This window comes from Homo sapiens, chromosome 12 (genome assembly GCF_000001405.40).
Source record: "Homo sapiens chromosome 12, GRCh38.p14 Primary Assembly".
NCBI lineage: Eukaryota > Metazoa > Chordata > Mammalia > Primates > Hominidae > Homo > Homo sapiens.
In genome coordinates, this window is record NC_000012.12 from 110,123,882 (window position 1) to 110,138,029 (window position 14,148).

Here is a 14,148-nt window from a genome sequence, read left to right on the forward strand (position 1 = left end):
TTGCTCATCCCAACCCCCCTACCACCCAGCCCTGCCTCAAAAACAAACAAAAATCATCACCCACGTTTGGCGCATGAATGCATGCATGCATGCATGAATGAATGAATGAATGAAACATCACACGCATTTAACATAGGTTAATCATGCAGAGAGTATTTTGTAAACTGCGAAGTGCAGGACTTTCGGGAAGCTTATTGTAGCGCGTCTAGGTCGGAGTAACAGTCCCAAATGCCCTCGGCTGTCTGCAGTGGCTCAGCACGTGGGCCCGCTTTGCAAGTAAGCCCGGCTCCCGTCCGCCCCGTCCGCCCCGCCCCGTCCCGCCCCGTCCCGTCCGCTCCGCCCCGCCCCGCCCCGTCCGCTCCGCCCCGCGCCCGTCCTCCCCGCCCTGGCCCGGCCCCGCCCCCCAGCTCGTGCGCGCGCGCGCGGGAGAGCGGCCGCTCGCCCGGAAGTGACGTAACTCTACGGCCTAGCAACCGTTGCCAAGGAGCTCGACTCTGGGAGCGGTCTAGAGCCCGGGCGCCTCCTGGGGGGTGGGGAAACGGTTTCGTGAGGAGAATTTGAGGTAACCTCGCCAACTCGCGGTCGGAAGCTCCTCTGAACCCCGAAATAGGAGAGAGCTCCCGTCCTCTCTCGGTCCTGATGCAGCACCTCGCAAGTGGAAGGGGTCGTCGCGGTTAAGCCCCCGGATAGGGGAATCGGGCCCCTTCTGGGATTCGAGCGGATCCAGGCCGCTCCCTGGAGGGATGAACTGTCGAGGGGCCCAGGGCAGCCCCCGCTAGAGGCCCGGTCGGGTGTGGGGTCCCCTGTCCCCTGTCCCGAGCCCGGGGAGGGGGACACTATTTCTGGTACTCCCAGGAGGCTGCGGGTCGATGCTCGTGCCAGCCTGGGACCCAGGCAGCACGGTTTCTCTCCCAAATTGTGCCAGAGAACACGCACGTCCTGGTTTTCATTGTTCCCCGCCTCCTGCGACTCGTTTGTGGGTGAGTGCTTGGGAATTAGCGCGGCGACTTCGCGCTAGAAGAGGGACAGTAATTGCTTTTGCTAATTTTAGAGCGCAGAGCCCGCTGGGCACAGACAGCCTTCCTGTTCAGTACATCTTTGTCCTTATCGAGTGACCATTTTTGCAGGCTGGTGGGCGACTTGGGGGGAACCCAACTGGTTTATTTTGCCTTCCTGGAAACGTTGTACTAGTTTATCCAGATTTTTTTTTAAGGGAAAAAAGAGTAGACCTATAGATAATTTCTAAATCATTTAAAATGAAATACATATTTCTGCACGCAAAGGTTATGACGTGGACTTTTACTTAAAATACTTTAAACAATGGAAAACTTGCACTTCCAATATGGATTTTAAAAAAAAACTTACGTAAAGGTTTTCCTTTTATAGCTTAAAGGAAACCTCAGATTTATTATAAGCCATGGTGGTTATCCTTCCTATCCTCTTTTGACTTATTTCTTAGCAATAATAATTATTTGTGCGTAATTTTTCATCATTGTGGAGAAATTATCTTTTTTATTTTATTTTTTCTGTTGAGACGGAGTCTCTCTCTGTCCCCCAGGCTGGAGTGCAGTGGCGCGATCTCGGCTCACTGCAACCTCCGCCTCCCGGGTTCAAGCAATTCTCCTGCCTCAGCCTCCCAAGTAGCTGGGACTACCGGCGCCCGCCACCACACCTGGCTAATTTTTGTATTTTTAGTAGAGACCGGGTTTCACCATGTTGGCCAGGCTGGCCTCGAACTCCTGACCTCAAGTGATCTGCCTGCCTCGGCCTCCCAAAGTACTGGGATTACAGGAGAGAACGACAGCTCCCGGCAGCAACTCATTGCTTAATTCATTTTTAATCCTTAAAGCATTTACCTAGGTAAAGCTGTTTCAGCAGTTAATAAATCAGATATTCAGTTTTTTAAAAAGTTATGATCTTTCTCACTGCCAGCCTGATTTCCTTTAGATTTAGGCTTATGTTGTACTTGTGCCTGTGAACAAGTTCATTCAATCTAGTGGAAGGAATCACTGTTTTAGACACAATGGATGTTCAAAAATGGAATTGGACACAGATACGGAATTTACAGTTTAGCAGGGAAGAGAAGATGCGTACCTAAAGAACTAGCACAAGATCGGCCAGGCGCGGTGGCTCACGCCTGTAATTCCAGCACTTTGGGAGGCCAAGGTGGGCGGATCACGAGGTCAGGAGATCCAGACCATCCTGGCTAACACGGTGAAACCCCGTCTCTACTAAAAATACAAAAAATTAGCCAGGCGTGCTGGCAGGCGCCTGTAGTCCCAGCTACTTGGGAGGCTGAGGGAGGAGAATGGCTTGAACCTGGGAGGCGGAGCTTGCAGTGAGCCAAGATCGCGCCACTGCACTCCAGCCTGGGCGACAGAGCGAGACTCCGTCTCAAAAAAAAAAAAAAAAAAAGCACAAGATCAAAAGTAGTGCTAGGAGAGAAGCACAGATAAAGTGTGGTCAGCTATGAAGGACAGGTGTTGGCACTGCTGCAGAACCTGGAGGATAGCTTGAGAAAGGTTTCCTGGGGGAGCTGGCGTTTGGTGGGCATGGCTTGAAAGATGGTTGGGGGGGTTTGTGCCTCTTGAGATGAAGGAGGGGTGCGCAGTCATTTTAGGCAGAGAAAGCAACATTAACTAAAGGCAGAGTGATAGAAAAACTAAGGAGCAGTGACTGTTTCAATAGGCTGAAGTTTGAAGGGGTAGAAAGATGACAATTTGGAAATAAAGTTGGAAAGGGATAAGTTGTGCCAGATCATAAAGAGTCTGGAAATCCAAGAAGTTTGAGCTGTATTTTGTGCGCAATAAGGAGCATACAGATGATTTGGAATGGGGAGAGGTGGAGACCAGAGAACAAGAGGCTGTGGCCTCATTGAAGGCCAAAGGAAATGAAGGCAGAGTGGATGCCTACCGGCCACACCAATAACAGAAATGGAAGAAGGGTACTTGAAGTGTGCAGCCTCTACTCAGATGCAGTTGGTTGTGGGCATGCACAAATGTGGGCCCACGGTTGCCAGATCTGATTTTCAAGAGAAACTGGAAATACAGATTTTAAAGTAAAAAATCTCTCAATGTTTTTTGGGAGATTTGGGAGAAACATCTGTTAGGCTTGCAGTCAGGCTCCTAAAATTTAGGAGCATGTTTAATTCCTGGGTAGAAATTATGCACCGGTATGGGAGAGATGTTAATGTAGGGAGGATTTATTATTCATTTGTCCACATTAACTCAGATGATTACTGTTACACCAGATGCATATACAAAGCATTTGATGTTAAAATTAACAGTATATACTGCAGTTTTCATAGTAAAGCCATTATACTTGGATTTCTTTCAACAAAATAACCCTTTTCACAGCATTTTGTATGCCATGTAAAATTATACTTTTCATGCCTACGTTGTATGAACTTAATTCTGGTTTTTACCCAGGACTTTTGTTGCCAGTATTAAGGATTTTTTTTTCTATTTTTACTCTTTAGTTAAAATTATAAGACCTAATTATGAGTGATCAAATTAAATTCATTATGGACAGTCTCAATAAGGAGCCCTTTAGGAAGAACTATAATTTAATCACGTTTGATTCCTTGGAGCCAATGCAACTATTACAAGTTCTCAGTGATGTTCTGGCTGAGATTGACCCAAAGGTAAGAGTTTTCTCTTTCTTTTTGATGGGTAGCAGAAAGCCAATTTCTCCCTCTAAATAGCTGTGAGTCTTGGGCACATTATTTAACCTCTCTGAGCTTTATTTTCCATGTCTGTAAAGTAATAGTAAATAATGCATAACATTTCTCTGCTAGCTCAAAAATAAATTATCTATTGGTACCTTATTTCAAAATTATTTATCCACTTCCAGACATAAATAGGTTTGGTTAGGGAATGAAAATTCTTTTACAAAAGGTTTTATTGTATTGCAAGTTAGTTCATGTCTCTCATACACTGGTCCATTCCACTGGATACTTTTTTTGAAGCTTAACATTCTTAATGTGAATCTTGATCTGACTTGGGTGTACCCTCACTTGGAATCTGGGGGCCTCCATCCTTAATCTGTTTTATGAAGAGACCATTGTGCTGTTAAGCTCTAGCAGAACAATTTTGTCAGTGAGTTTAAATATTGTCCTTTGTTACATATACAACAATAACATGTTTTTTTCAATTTCTTTGTTAGCAACTTGTGGATATCAGAGAGGAGATGCCAGAGCAGACAGCCAAACGAATGTTGAGCCTTCTTGGTATTCTTAAGTACAAACCTTCAGGAAATGCCACAGATATGTAAGAATCTGATCACGTATTGAGTTTTTAAAATTATGCTTTAATATCCAAACCTTCATATACTGCAATCAATCTTTGTAGGTAATACCTGGTTTCCCTCATTTGATGGCCTGAGAACATCACTGAGTTTCAAAATAATCTTAAACCTTCTATAAACAAACTCAGAAGTCTTAAGAGGGTCAGTTCTTTGCCTTAATCAAACTGTCTGGTAAATCCACTATACCATTTTATCCTTTATCTGCCATCCTAGATAAAAACAGCTTAAACACAACTTCCTTGGATATGCCAATGATATATTGAGGGCCAAATTTTTCTAATTTTCTAACTAATGTACAGACTGACTTTAGAATAGCCTTGGGGCCAGGCATGGTAGCTCACACCTGTAATCCTAGCACTTTGAGATGCCAAGGTGAGAGGATCACTTGAGCTCAGGAGTTTGAGACCAGCCAGGGCAACATGGCGAAACGCTGCCTCTACAAAAAATACAACAACAAAAAATCAGCTGGGCATGGTGGTTGGTGCCTCTAGTCCCAGCTACTTGGGAGGCTAAGGTGGGAGGTTCACCTGAGCCAGGAGGTTAAGGCTTTGGTGAGCTGCGTTGTGCTCAAGCCTGGGCAATAAAGTGAGACCCTGTCTCAAAAAAAAAAAAAAAAAAAAAAAAGATTCCTTGGGTTTATCTTTTTTAAAAAGTTACAGAAAGCAATTTGGACATTGTAAATCAGATTTTGAGAAAATGCTGTCTCTCTTCAAAGTTTACCGTTAAGTGCGTGTGTGTTTGTGTATGTGTGTTTCTCTCTTAGGAGTACTTTTCGTCAGGGTTTGGTGATTGGAAGTAAACCTGTAATTTACCCAGTGCTCCACTGGCTTCTTCAGAGGACTAATGAACTGAAGAAAAGAGCATATTTAGCTCGTTTTTTAATAAAACTTGAGGTACCAAGTGAGTTTCTTCAGGATGAAACTGTGGCTGACACCAATAAACAGGTAAACAATACATAAATGGTACATTGAAACTGTAATGGATTTCAAGGTGTATATATTCAAATACATGTTACTCTTTTTTTATTTGCTGTCTTTGTAGTTCCAAGTGGCACAAGAAGATAAAACTGTATCAGCTAATGTTCAACTATGGCCACATCTCAAGATAATGGCTTTTGCACACAAATACTGTTTTAGTGATAGGAGTATGTGAATAGAAAAAAAAAAAACCTGATACTAAGATTTTAGAATAATTTATTACTTAGCAATTGTGGGTAAATAGAATCCTGGGTTAAGTCTGCACAGCACTTTGTTCATCAGTAAGGTGACTACATAGTTTTTTATCCAAATTTGAGAGAAACAGACTATCATAACATTTAAACACCAAGACAAATGGTTTAAATTGACACTATCCCAGGCAAATTGGGACATGTGAGGTCCTGGAAAGAAGCAGGCAAAGAACCTAGGCTTGCAGTCTCAAAGCACTTCCCAATCAGACAAAGGGTAGAGATAGATTCCGGAGTTTGAAATCTCAGTGCACCTTTCTTGCCAAGGTTTTGGAGTAACATTGGGCTCTGGCATAAGGTCTTAAAGCTCTTGAGTACTGAGGATTCTGGCTGGTCTGGCTTCTGATCCTGAGATCCCTAAGCACATTGCTGGTCAAAGACTGTGGAGAGAAAGAAACTAGACTCAGATTTAAAAGGACTTTGATTTTTTTTTTTTTTTAAAAAGTGCTTCTGTTTAGTGTTTCACACTTTTATTCCATAGCACTTACATAGACTGATTTGTGCCAAATTGTTGTGAATAGTTTGTCAATCTGTCTTTCCCAATAAATTCTGAGGCCCATAGAGACAGGTGCCATGTCTTATCCATCTTTATTTTCTTCCAGATTTTGTATAGTCACTTCTAATGTTAGCTCAATATTTGGATTGAATCGCAGTAACCAACTGAATATTTTTATTTTTATCCATATATTTTGCTATTTGGGGTAGACATGGCAGTAACTCAAAATAGAGTCAATATTGATCTCTTAAGACAGTATTTATGCAAATAATTATGTCAGATGTCACAGTAGATGCCATGGGAGAAGCACAGCAGAATGAGACCACCTGTCCTTACCTTTGAATATTTTACACAATGTGGGAAATAGAGAAGTGTAAATGTGTACTTTCTCCTTCCTAGGCTCCCACCATCGATAAATCTGATAAAAATTAATTTATCTAGAGGAAGTTGATTAAGTCTTTTTTTTTTTTTTTTCCGAGACAGAGTCTTGCTCTGTTGCCCAGGCTGGATGGAGTGCAGTGGTGCAATCTCGGCTCACTGCAACCTCCGCCTCCTGGGTTCAAGTGATTCTCCTGCCTCAGCCTCCTTAGTAGCTGGGATTACAGGTGCCCACCACCACACCCAGCTAATTTTTGTATTTTTAGCAGAGATGGGGTTTCATGATGTTGGCCAGGCTGGTCTCGAACCCCTGACCTCATGATCTGCCCACCTCGGGTTCCAAAGTGCTGGGATTACAGGCGTGAGCCACGGTGCACGACCTGATTAAGTCTTTGCTAAATATGCTCAGCTAGTTGATGAAAGAATTAATGGTAATAAAGACATACTTGTTCTTGAAGCATATCTGACAGGTATCTCTCTCTATATATATGTATATACATATACATATATATATAAAATGAGAAAGAGATATACACACACACAATGATTTACAATATATAATGATTTACACATTTAGCCAGTCATTTCAGGAATCCTAATAAAAATACATATTATCTTTTGGAATGAAGGGTCTTATAATTAATAATTTGTAGATTTAAGATATGATCAATCAAGAAAAATATTATTCTGTCATTCCCCATCAAAATAACTTTTTGGCCAGGCACAGTGTCTCATGCCTTTAATCCTAGCACTTTGGGAGGCCAAGGTGGGCAGATTGCTTGAGCTCAGGAGTTCGAGACCAGCCTGGGCAACATGGTGAAACCCATCTCTACAAAAGATAAAAAAATTAGCCCAGCATGGTGACGTAAGCTTGTAGTCCCAATTACTTGGGAAGCTGAGGTGGGAGGATCACCTAAGCCCAGGGAGGTCGAGGCTGCAATGAGCTGTGATCGCACCACTGCACTCCAGCCAGGGTGACAGAGTGAAACCCTGTCTCAAAAACAACAAAAAAAAACTATTTTAAAAAATTTTTAGGTAACAGGATTTTTTTCATTCATTCAATTACTTTTTTTTTGTTTGAGACAGAGTCTCGCTTTGTCACCCAGGCTGGAGTGCAGTGGTGTGATCTCGGCTCACTGCAACCTCCACTTCCCAGGTTCAAGCAATTCTCCTGCCTCAAGCTCCTGAGTAGCTGGGATTATAGGTGTGCGCCACTGTGCCCAGCTAATTTTTTGTATTTTTAGTAGAGACAGGGTTTCACCATGTTGGCCAGGCTGGTCTCGAACTCCTGACCTCAAGTGATCCATCTGCCTCAGCATCCCAAAGTGCTAGGATTACAGGTGTGAGCCACCTCACCTGGCCCATTCAACTACTTTATATTAAACACCTCCATGGGTTATGCACTGTGCTAGGCCCTAGGGATACAAGGGTGTACACAATGAATATGATTCTTTTCCTCTTGGCTCTCACTATATGATGGAGGGAGACAGACAGAAAATTATAATAGTCAGTTATAATTGTACATGATATCTACTCTGATAGGATAGATAAAGGGCCAGAGAAGGCTTCTCTGAGAATAGTAGAATCTATGTGAAGACTTGAAGGATGAAAAGGAGTTGCTTAAGTTATGGGTGAGGGAGTCATAGATGTATAAGCTGGACGTGAGAGCATGGAATGTTCAGGAACTCAGACATCAACATAGCTAGTGTAGAGTGTGAAGCAGGAAAGTAACCAGAAATGAAGATAGAGAAGTATTTAGTGTTAAGATGGTAGAGATGTACTTTTTTGTACCCTATATAAATGTATAAGGATGTGTTTTTGTGTTTTTAATGCTGTTCTTACAATGACTTAAGTAATCGCTGTAAGTTAATAGATAACCTGATTAAGAAAACTCTATGGCTAGGCGCGGTGGCTCACGCCTGTAATCCCAGCACTTTGGGAGGCCAAAGCGGATGGATCATGAGGTCAGGAGTTCGAGACCAGCCTGAACATGGTGAAACCCCGTCTCTACTAAAAATACAAAAATTAGCCGGGCGTGGTGGCGCGCGCATGTAATCCCAGGTACTCAGGAGGCTGACGCAGGAGAATCGCTTGAATCTGGGAGGCGGAAGTTGTAGTGAGCCGAGATCGTGCCACTGCACTCCAGGCTGGGCGACAGAGCAAGAGTCTGTCTCAAAAAAAAAAAAAAAAGAAAGAAAGAAAGAAAGAAAACTCTACTGGATCTAGTTATTAGTTTATAATTTCTTAACTTATTCTTCTAGTATGAAGAGTTAATGGAAGCCTTTAAAACTTTGCATAAAGAATATGAGCAGCTCAAGATATCTGGATTTTCTACAGCAGAAATAAGAAAGGTAAAGGAAAGAAAACATAGTAACAATTTTTTTGGGATTTGAATAATATTGGATTTAGCATTTTATTAATTCAGTATGAGTCTTAAGACTATATGGAGACTAGTGATAGCAAATGGCACATTTTACTTTGTGGGGGGACCTTTGGTAGTTCCTTACTGATGAAATTGATGAGACTGGGGTAAATTCACGATGAGTAGTTACTTACAGTACGGAAGAAGAGTGATATATGTCCATCTACTATTCCTCCATTATGTCCTGTAAGTAAACCAGAATAATGACAAGAACCTAGAGTCTATATTTTAATTTATTCATTATTACTAAAGCTTTCTCTCTCTTTTTTTTTTTTTTTTTTGAGACAGGGTCTCACTCTGTCATTCAGACTGGAGTACAGTGGTGTGATCACAGCTCACTACAGTCTCGACATCCCAGGTTCAAATGATCCACATGCCTGAGCCTCCTGAGTAGCTGGGACTACAGGCATGCGCCACCATGCCCAGCTAATTTTTGTATTTTTTTGTAGAGACGGGATTTTGCCATGTTGCCCGGGTTGGTCTTGACCTCCTGGGCTCAAGCTATCCTCCCACCTTGGCCTCTCAAAGTACTGGGATTATAGGCATGAGCCACTGCTGCACCTAGCCTTTATTTCTTGTTTAATCATATTTTCTAAATTTTCTACAAAGCATATGTTCAAGAATACTTTAGTAGGCCAGGCATGGTAGCTCATGCCTGTAATCCAAACACTTTGGGTGGCCGAGGCTGGAGGATCATTTGAGCCCAAGAGTTTGAGACCAGCCTGGGCATGATGGCAAGATTCTGTCTCCAGAAAAAAAAAAAAAAACAAATTAGCCAGGCATGGTGGTGCACGCCTGTAGTCCCAGCTACTCAGGAAGCTGAGGCAGGAGGATCACTTGAGCCTGGGAGTTCAAGGCTGCAGTGAGCTATGATCATACCACTGCACTCTAGCTGGGTGACAGAGTGAGAACTTGTCTCAAAAAAAAAGAAAAGAAAAAATAATTCACTCATAATCTCGTTCTCCAGAGACAACTATGGTTGACATTTTGATAAATATATTTAAATCTTTTTCTTGGTATTCTGTAGATAAATGTTGTAATCCGCCTCTTTCAATTAATGTCATTTCATGACTTTTTCTCATGTCATTAAACATTCTTCTGCATGATTTTTAATGACTTTCATTGTATTATGTGGTGATTTATTTAACAATCCTCATACATTTTGGTCATTTCCAAATTGTAGATGTAACTTGCATTAATGAGAATCTTTACAGAGGATGTCTTTTCATGAATGTTTTATTCGGACAAATCATCAGATATAAAATTACTGGGCTAGAAGGGATGAACATTTATTTTAAGATTTTTTTTTTTGAGACGGAGTCTCACTCTGTCACCCAGGGTGGAGTGCAATGGCGCAATCTTGGCTCACTGCAACCTCCACCTCCTGGGTTCAAGCGATTCTCCTGCCTCAGCCTCCCAAGTAGCTGGGATTACAGGCACTTGCCACCACGCCTGGCTAGTTTTGTATTTTTAGTAGAGACAAAATTTCAACATGTTGGCCAGGCTATATTTTAAGACTTTTGATATTGTTCTTCAGTACAGTGCTATCGGTAATGAGTAAGAGTGCCCATTTTTCCAAATTCTGTCAATACTGACTACCGTGTATATTTTACCTTTACTATTACTGCGATATTTAAGCTATTAGTTTTTTAGATTTAGGAAGGAGTTTTTTTATTTGTTTGTTTTTATAACAAAATACTATGAAGCTGGTTAACAGGAAGGAAGTTTATTTTTGAAGTCTTTATTTTCAGAGACGGAATTGGTTCATTGGAAAAACCAGGTACAAACTTATGTCATGAAAATACCATAGCCTTAAAAATAATTTTGATGGAAAATTGGCAAAATATATGGCTTGGTATTTAACAGAACAGATGGGATGTCAGCAGCTGTTGTTCATGTATTTAGACCTGCACACTTTCCATTATAGAAAATTTTTCAAAAATCATGTGCCCATATTTGGAATCAGAACACAAATGTGCTGGTTGGCAGCTTTACCTTGCTGCATTATAACTGGTTTTTGTTGCATTTCTGGATGAACACCAAGCTGCCAAAAAAATTACCCTGCATAAGAAGCCCTGGGGGAAAAATAGAAATGACCTTCATCCAAAAGAGGATCTTGGTTGTTAATGCTGTGGTTATAAATGATGAAAATGTTAGATGCATAATCAAAATAAAACCTTATCTGTTTCCTACAGACTGAGAATACTTTTTCTTATAAGGTCTTCTTTGCCACTTTTTAGGATATCAGTGCAATGGAAGAAGAAAAGGATCAGCTCATTAAGAGAGTTGAACATTTGAAGAAAAGGGTAAGGCAGAATTAGTACTGTAAGACTTTGGCCCCAAGTCCCAAGGACTTGCAAAGATTTAGGAATGCAAATAAAGATTCAGCCAAGCATGAGTGTACATCTGAGGATGGACTCAAATAACATTGACGAAAAGGGAATCTCTCTAGACAGTAGCCCAGCACTTTCAAGGACCTGGAGCCTAGAGCTTTACTGTCATCTCTAGGGAGTACTGTTTACCAAAAGGAAATGATAAGTGGATGTCTGAGTCACATGACATGCTAATTTTTTTCTTCAAACCTGACAGTAACATGTACTACTTATTCCCTTACTGTAGGTTGAGACAGCTCAGAATCATCAATGGATGCTTAAAATAGCAAGGCAACTTCGAGTTGAAAAAGAGAGAGAAGAATATCTTGCACAACAGAAACAGGAACAAAAGAATCAGGTATCCACATAAAAGTTTATATTCTCAGTATGAAGGAAATAGTTCCTTCTCATAATCCAAATGTAAAGAAAAGAGTTTTAAAATTGTAGACGTTCACGTTCCTTTTGCTAACATAATGGAATACTCTTTTAATTAAGATAAATATTTCAGGCCGGGTGCAGTGGCTAACACCTGTAATCCCAGCACTTTGGGAGGCTGAGGCGGGCGAATCAGGAGGTCAGGAGTTCAAGACCAGCCTGGCCAGCACAGTGAAACCCTGTCTGTACTAAAAATATAAAAATTAGCTGGGCATGGTGGCACATGCCTGTAGTCCCAGCTACTCCAGAGGCTGAGGCAGGAGAATCACTTGAACCCAGGAAGTGGAGGTTGAGGTGAGCTGAGATCACGCCACCACACTCCAGCTTAGGCAACAGAGTGAGACTTTGTCTGAAAAAAAAAAAAAAAAAAAGATAAATATTTTGTGGCAACAACAATACCACTTTTTGGGTTTTATACTCTGAATTGTATCTATACACTGTCTTTTGGCCTATGCTTACCTCGTGTTGTTCCAACATTACAGAAGAGTCATTGTAATGTTAACAGTAAGATTAACTGCTAATAAAACTTCTAGAATCTCTACAGGATGCTTTTAGATTCCAGGGCTATGAGACCATTCTTTTTATTCCAGTGATCACAGTACCCTCTGCAGTTTACTACAATGGCAAATAAGTCATGAAAAGGCTCAAAATCACCTACACTCCATGTTTTTAAACTTTGCCTTAAAGAAAAATAATTTGCTAAGAAATTATTACTTTTACTTATTAAAAATCTATTTTAAAATCTGAGTAGACTTATACATTAAAATATATTTCACATAAGCTTCATTTACTACTAAATCAGCAGTTTAAATGTTTGATTTTGCTGGCACTTGACTTGGCATCGAAGTAGTTTCACTGCAGCAGTAAGCTGCATCGCCTAAGCCCTGAATGGTTACTTGGCGTTGGTTTGTGATTCTGAAACATCACTATATCAATGTTAACATTACTTGGCCTTAAGAAAACCATGTATAACAAGAAAAATCTGGTGTGTGTGTTTCTTTGATAAGTATTTTTCCTTAAACCGCAAATTCAGTAAATAACTAAAGAAAAATTTGTGAAAACTTCCTTAAAAAATGTATGTGAAAAGGTATTGAGAGAACCAGTTACATTTTGGGTTTAATATGGGAATTTTCCGAGTTCTTATTATTTGTTCCTTTTATATCATAAGAATTATATGGAACTTGTATTTTTCATTGCTTGCCTAAGTGAGAGGTAAGCTTCAGTAGACTAAGCAAGTAATCTATTTAATTGTATTTTAAAGCTATTTCATGCAGTGCAAAGATTGCAAAGAGTACAAAACCAGCTGAAAAGCATGCGCCAAGCTGCAGCAGATGCAAAGCCTGAAAGTAAGTGGAAATTATTATATGGTATAGATGATTAGAAAATATTAATTTAAATCACGATCTTCCTAAAAAATCAATTTGTGAGAATTAGTTATCATCAAGTGATGTCTCAGCATTTTGGAACATCATTTCCTAGCTGGAGAAGGAGAGCCCTGATAAAGACATCCCTGGGTTTTCACCAGATGTTTTTAAAAATTCCTAACCAGATGGCCGGGTGCAGTGGCTCATGCCTATAATCCCAGCACTTTGGGAGCCCGAGGTGGCGAGAGGTCAGGAGTTCGAGACCAGCCTAGCCAACATGGCGAAACCCCATCTCTACTAAACATACAAAAATTAGCAGAGCGTGGTGGTGGGTGCCTGTAATCCCAGCTACTCAGGGGGCTGAGGCAGGAGAATCACTTGAATCTGGGAGGCAGAGGTTGCAGTGAGCCGAGACCGCGCCACTGCAGCCCAGCCTGGGCGACAGAGCGAGACTCCATCTTAACAGCAACAACAAACAATTCCTAACCAGTTTTTCACATCAGAGAGTGAAGATAATGAAAACAACTGTGGAGGGAGGCTGTCTGGTTTGTGCTTGTATAAAGGACTTAGCATGGCTGGGCGTGGTAGCTCACACTTATAATCCCAGCACTTTAGGAGGCTGAGGCGGGTGGATCACTTGAGGTCAGGAGTTCGAGACCAACCTGGCCAACATGGTGAAACCCTGTTTCTACTAAAAGTACAAAAAAATTAGCTGGGCATGATGTCATGTGCCTATAATCTCAGCTACTCAGGATGCTGCGGCAGGAGAATTGCTTGAACCTAGAAGGCAGAGGTTGCAGTGAGCCGAGATCGCGCCATTGTACTGCAGCCTGGGCGACAGACTGAGACTCTGTCTCAAGAAAAATAAATAAATAAATAAATAAATAAAGGACTTAGCATGGACGTTGTGAAAATGATGGTTGGAAAAATTATGAATCATTGTTTTAAAGCCAGGGCTATAAAGAAAAAGAATAGAATGCTGGATCCTTAAAACCGAGTGTTTTTCATATTTTGGTTTGTAGAATAACAGTGCTAATGACGTAGGTATCTCTGGCTCTGTTCTTACATTAGCTTAACACAGAGGATAAACTGTCCTAACAGCCCAGATTACACCACCAGATCCATCCTAGGCATTTTACAAAGCATTTTTG

At 41.3% G+C, this 14,148-nt stretch overlaps 1 protein-coding gene across 14 annotated transcripts in view, besides 1 other annotated feature; it reads left to right on the plus strand.

Annotated features, from left to right (window-relative positions):
- Positions 290-559: a silencer, noted in NCBI's record as "silent region_4853". NCBI's record gives its function as "represses an Ori minimal core promoter by ATAC-STARR-seq in GM12878 lymphoblastoid cells {active_cell/tissue: GM12878}" and the evidence as "EXISTENCE:reporter gene assay evidence [ECO:0000049][PMID:35858748]".
- IFT81 (intraflagellar transport 81) overlaps positions 476-14,148 on the plus strand; it is a 94,437-nt gene continuing 80,764 nt past the window's right edge. For 6 of the 14 annotated variants that reach the window (NR_144952.2, XR_007063070.1, XR_001748670.3 and 3 more), the window contains exons 1-8: positions 476-980; positions 3,479-3,643; positions 4,165-4,268; positions 5,069-5,249; positions 8,666-8,755; positions 11,067-11,132; positions 11,446-11,556; positions 12,895-12,979. Coding sequence is in view for 7 of the 14 variants with exons in the window: in NM_014055.4 (NP_054774.2) it covers positions 3,500-3,643; positions 4,165-4,268; positions 5,069-5,249; positions 8,666-8,755; positions 11,067-11,132; positions 11,446-11,556; positions 12,895-12,979 (781 nt within the window). In the remaining 7 variants the exon portion in view is untranslated. Of the gene's footprint in view, positions 2,167-3,478; positions 3,644-4,164; positions 4,269-5,068; positions 5,250-8,665; positions 8,756-11,066; positions 11,133-11,445; positions 11,557-12,894; positions 12,980-14,148 lie in introns of all 14 variants that reach the window. The other 8 variants (NR_144951.2, NR_144950.2, XR_944523.4 and 5 more) reach the window with 3 other exon arrangements.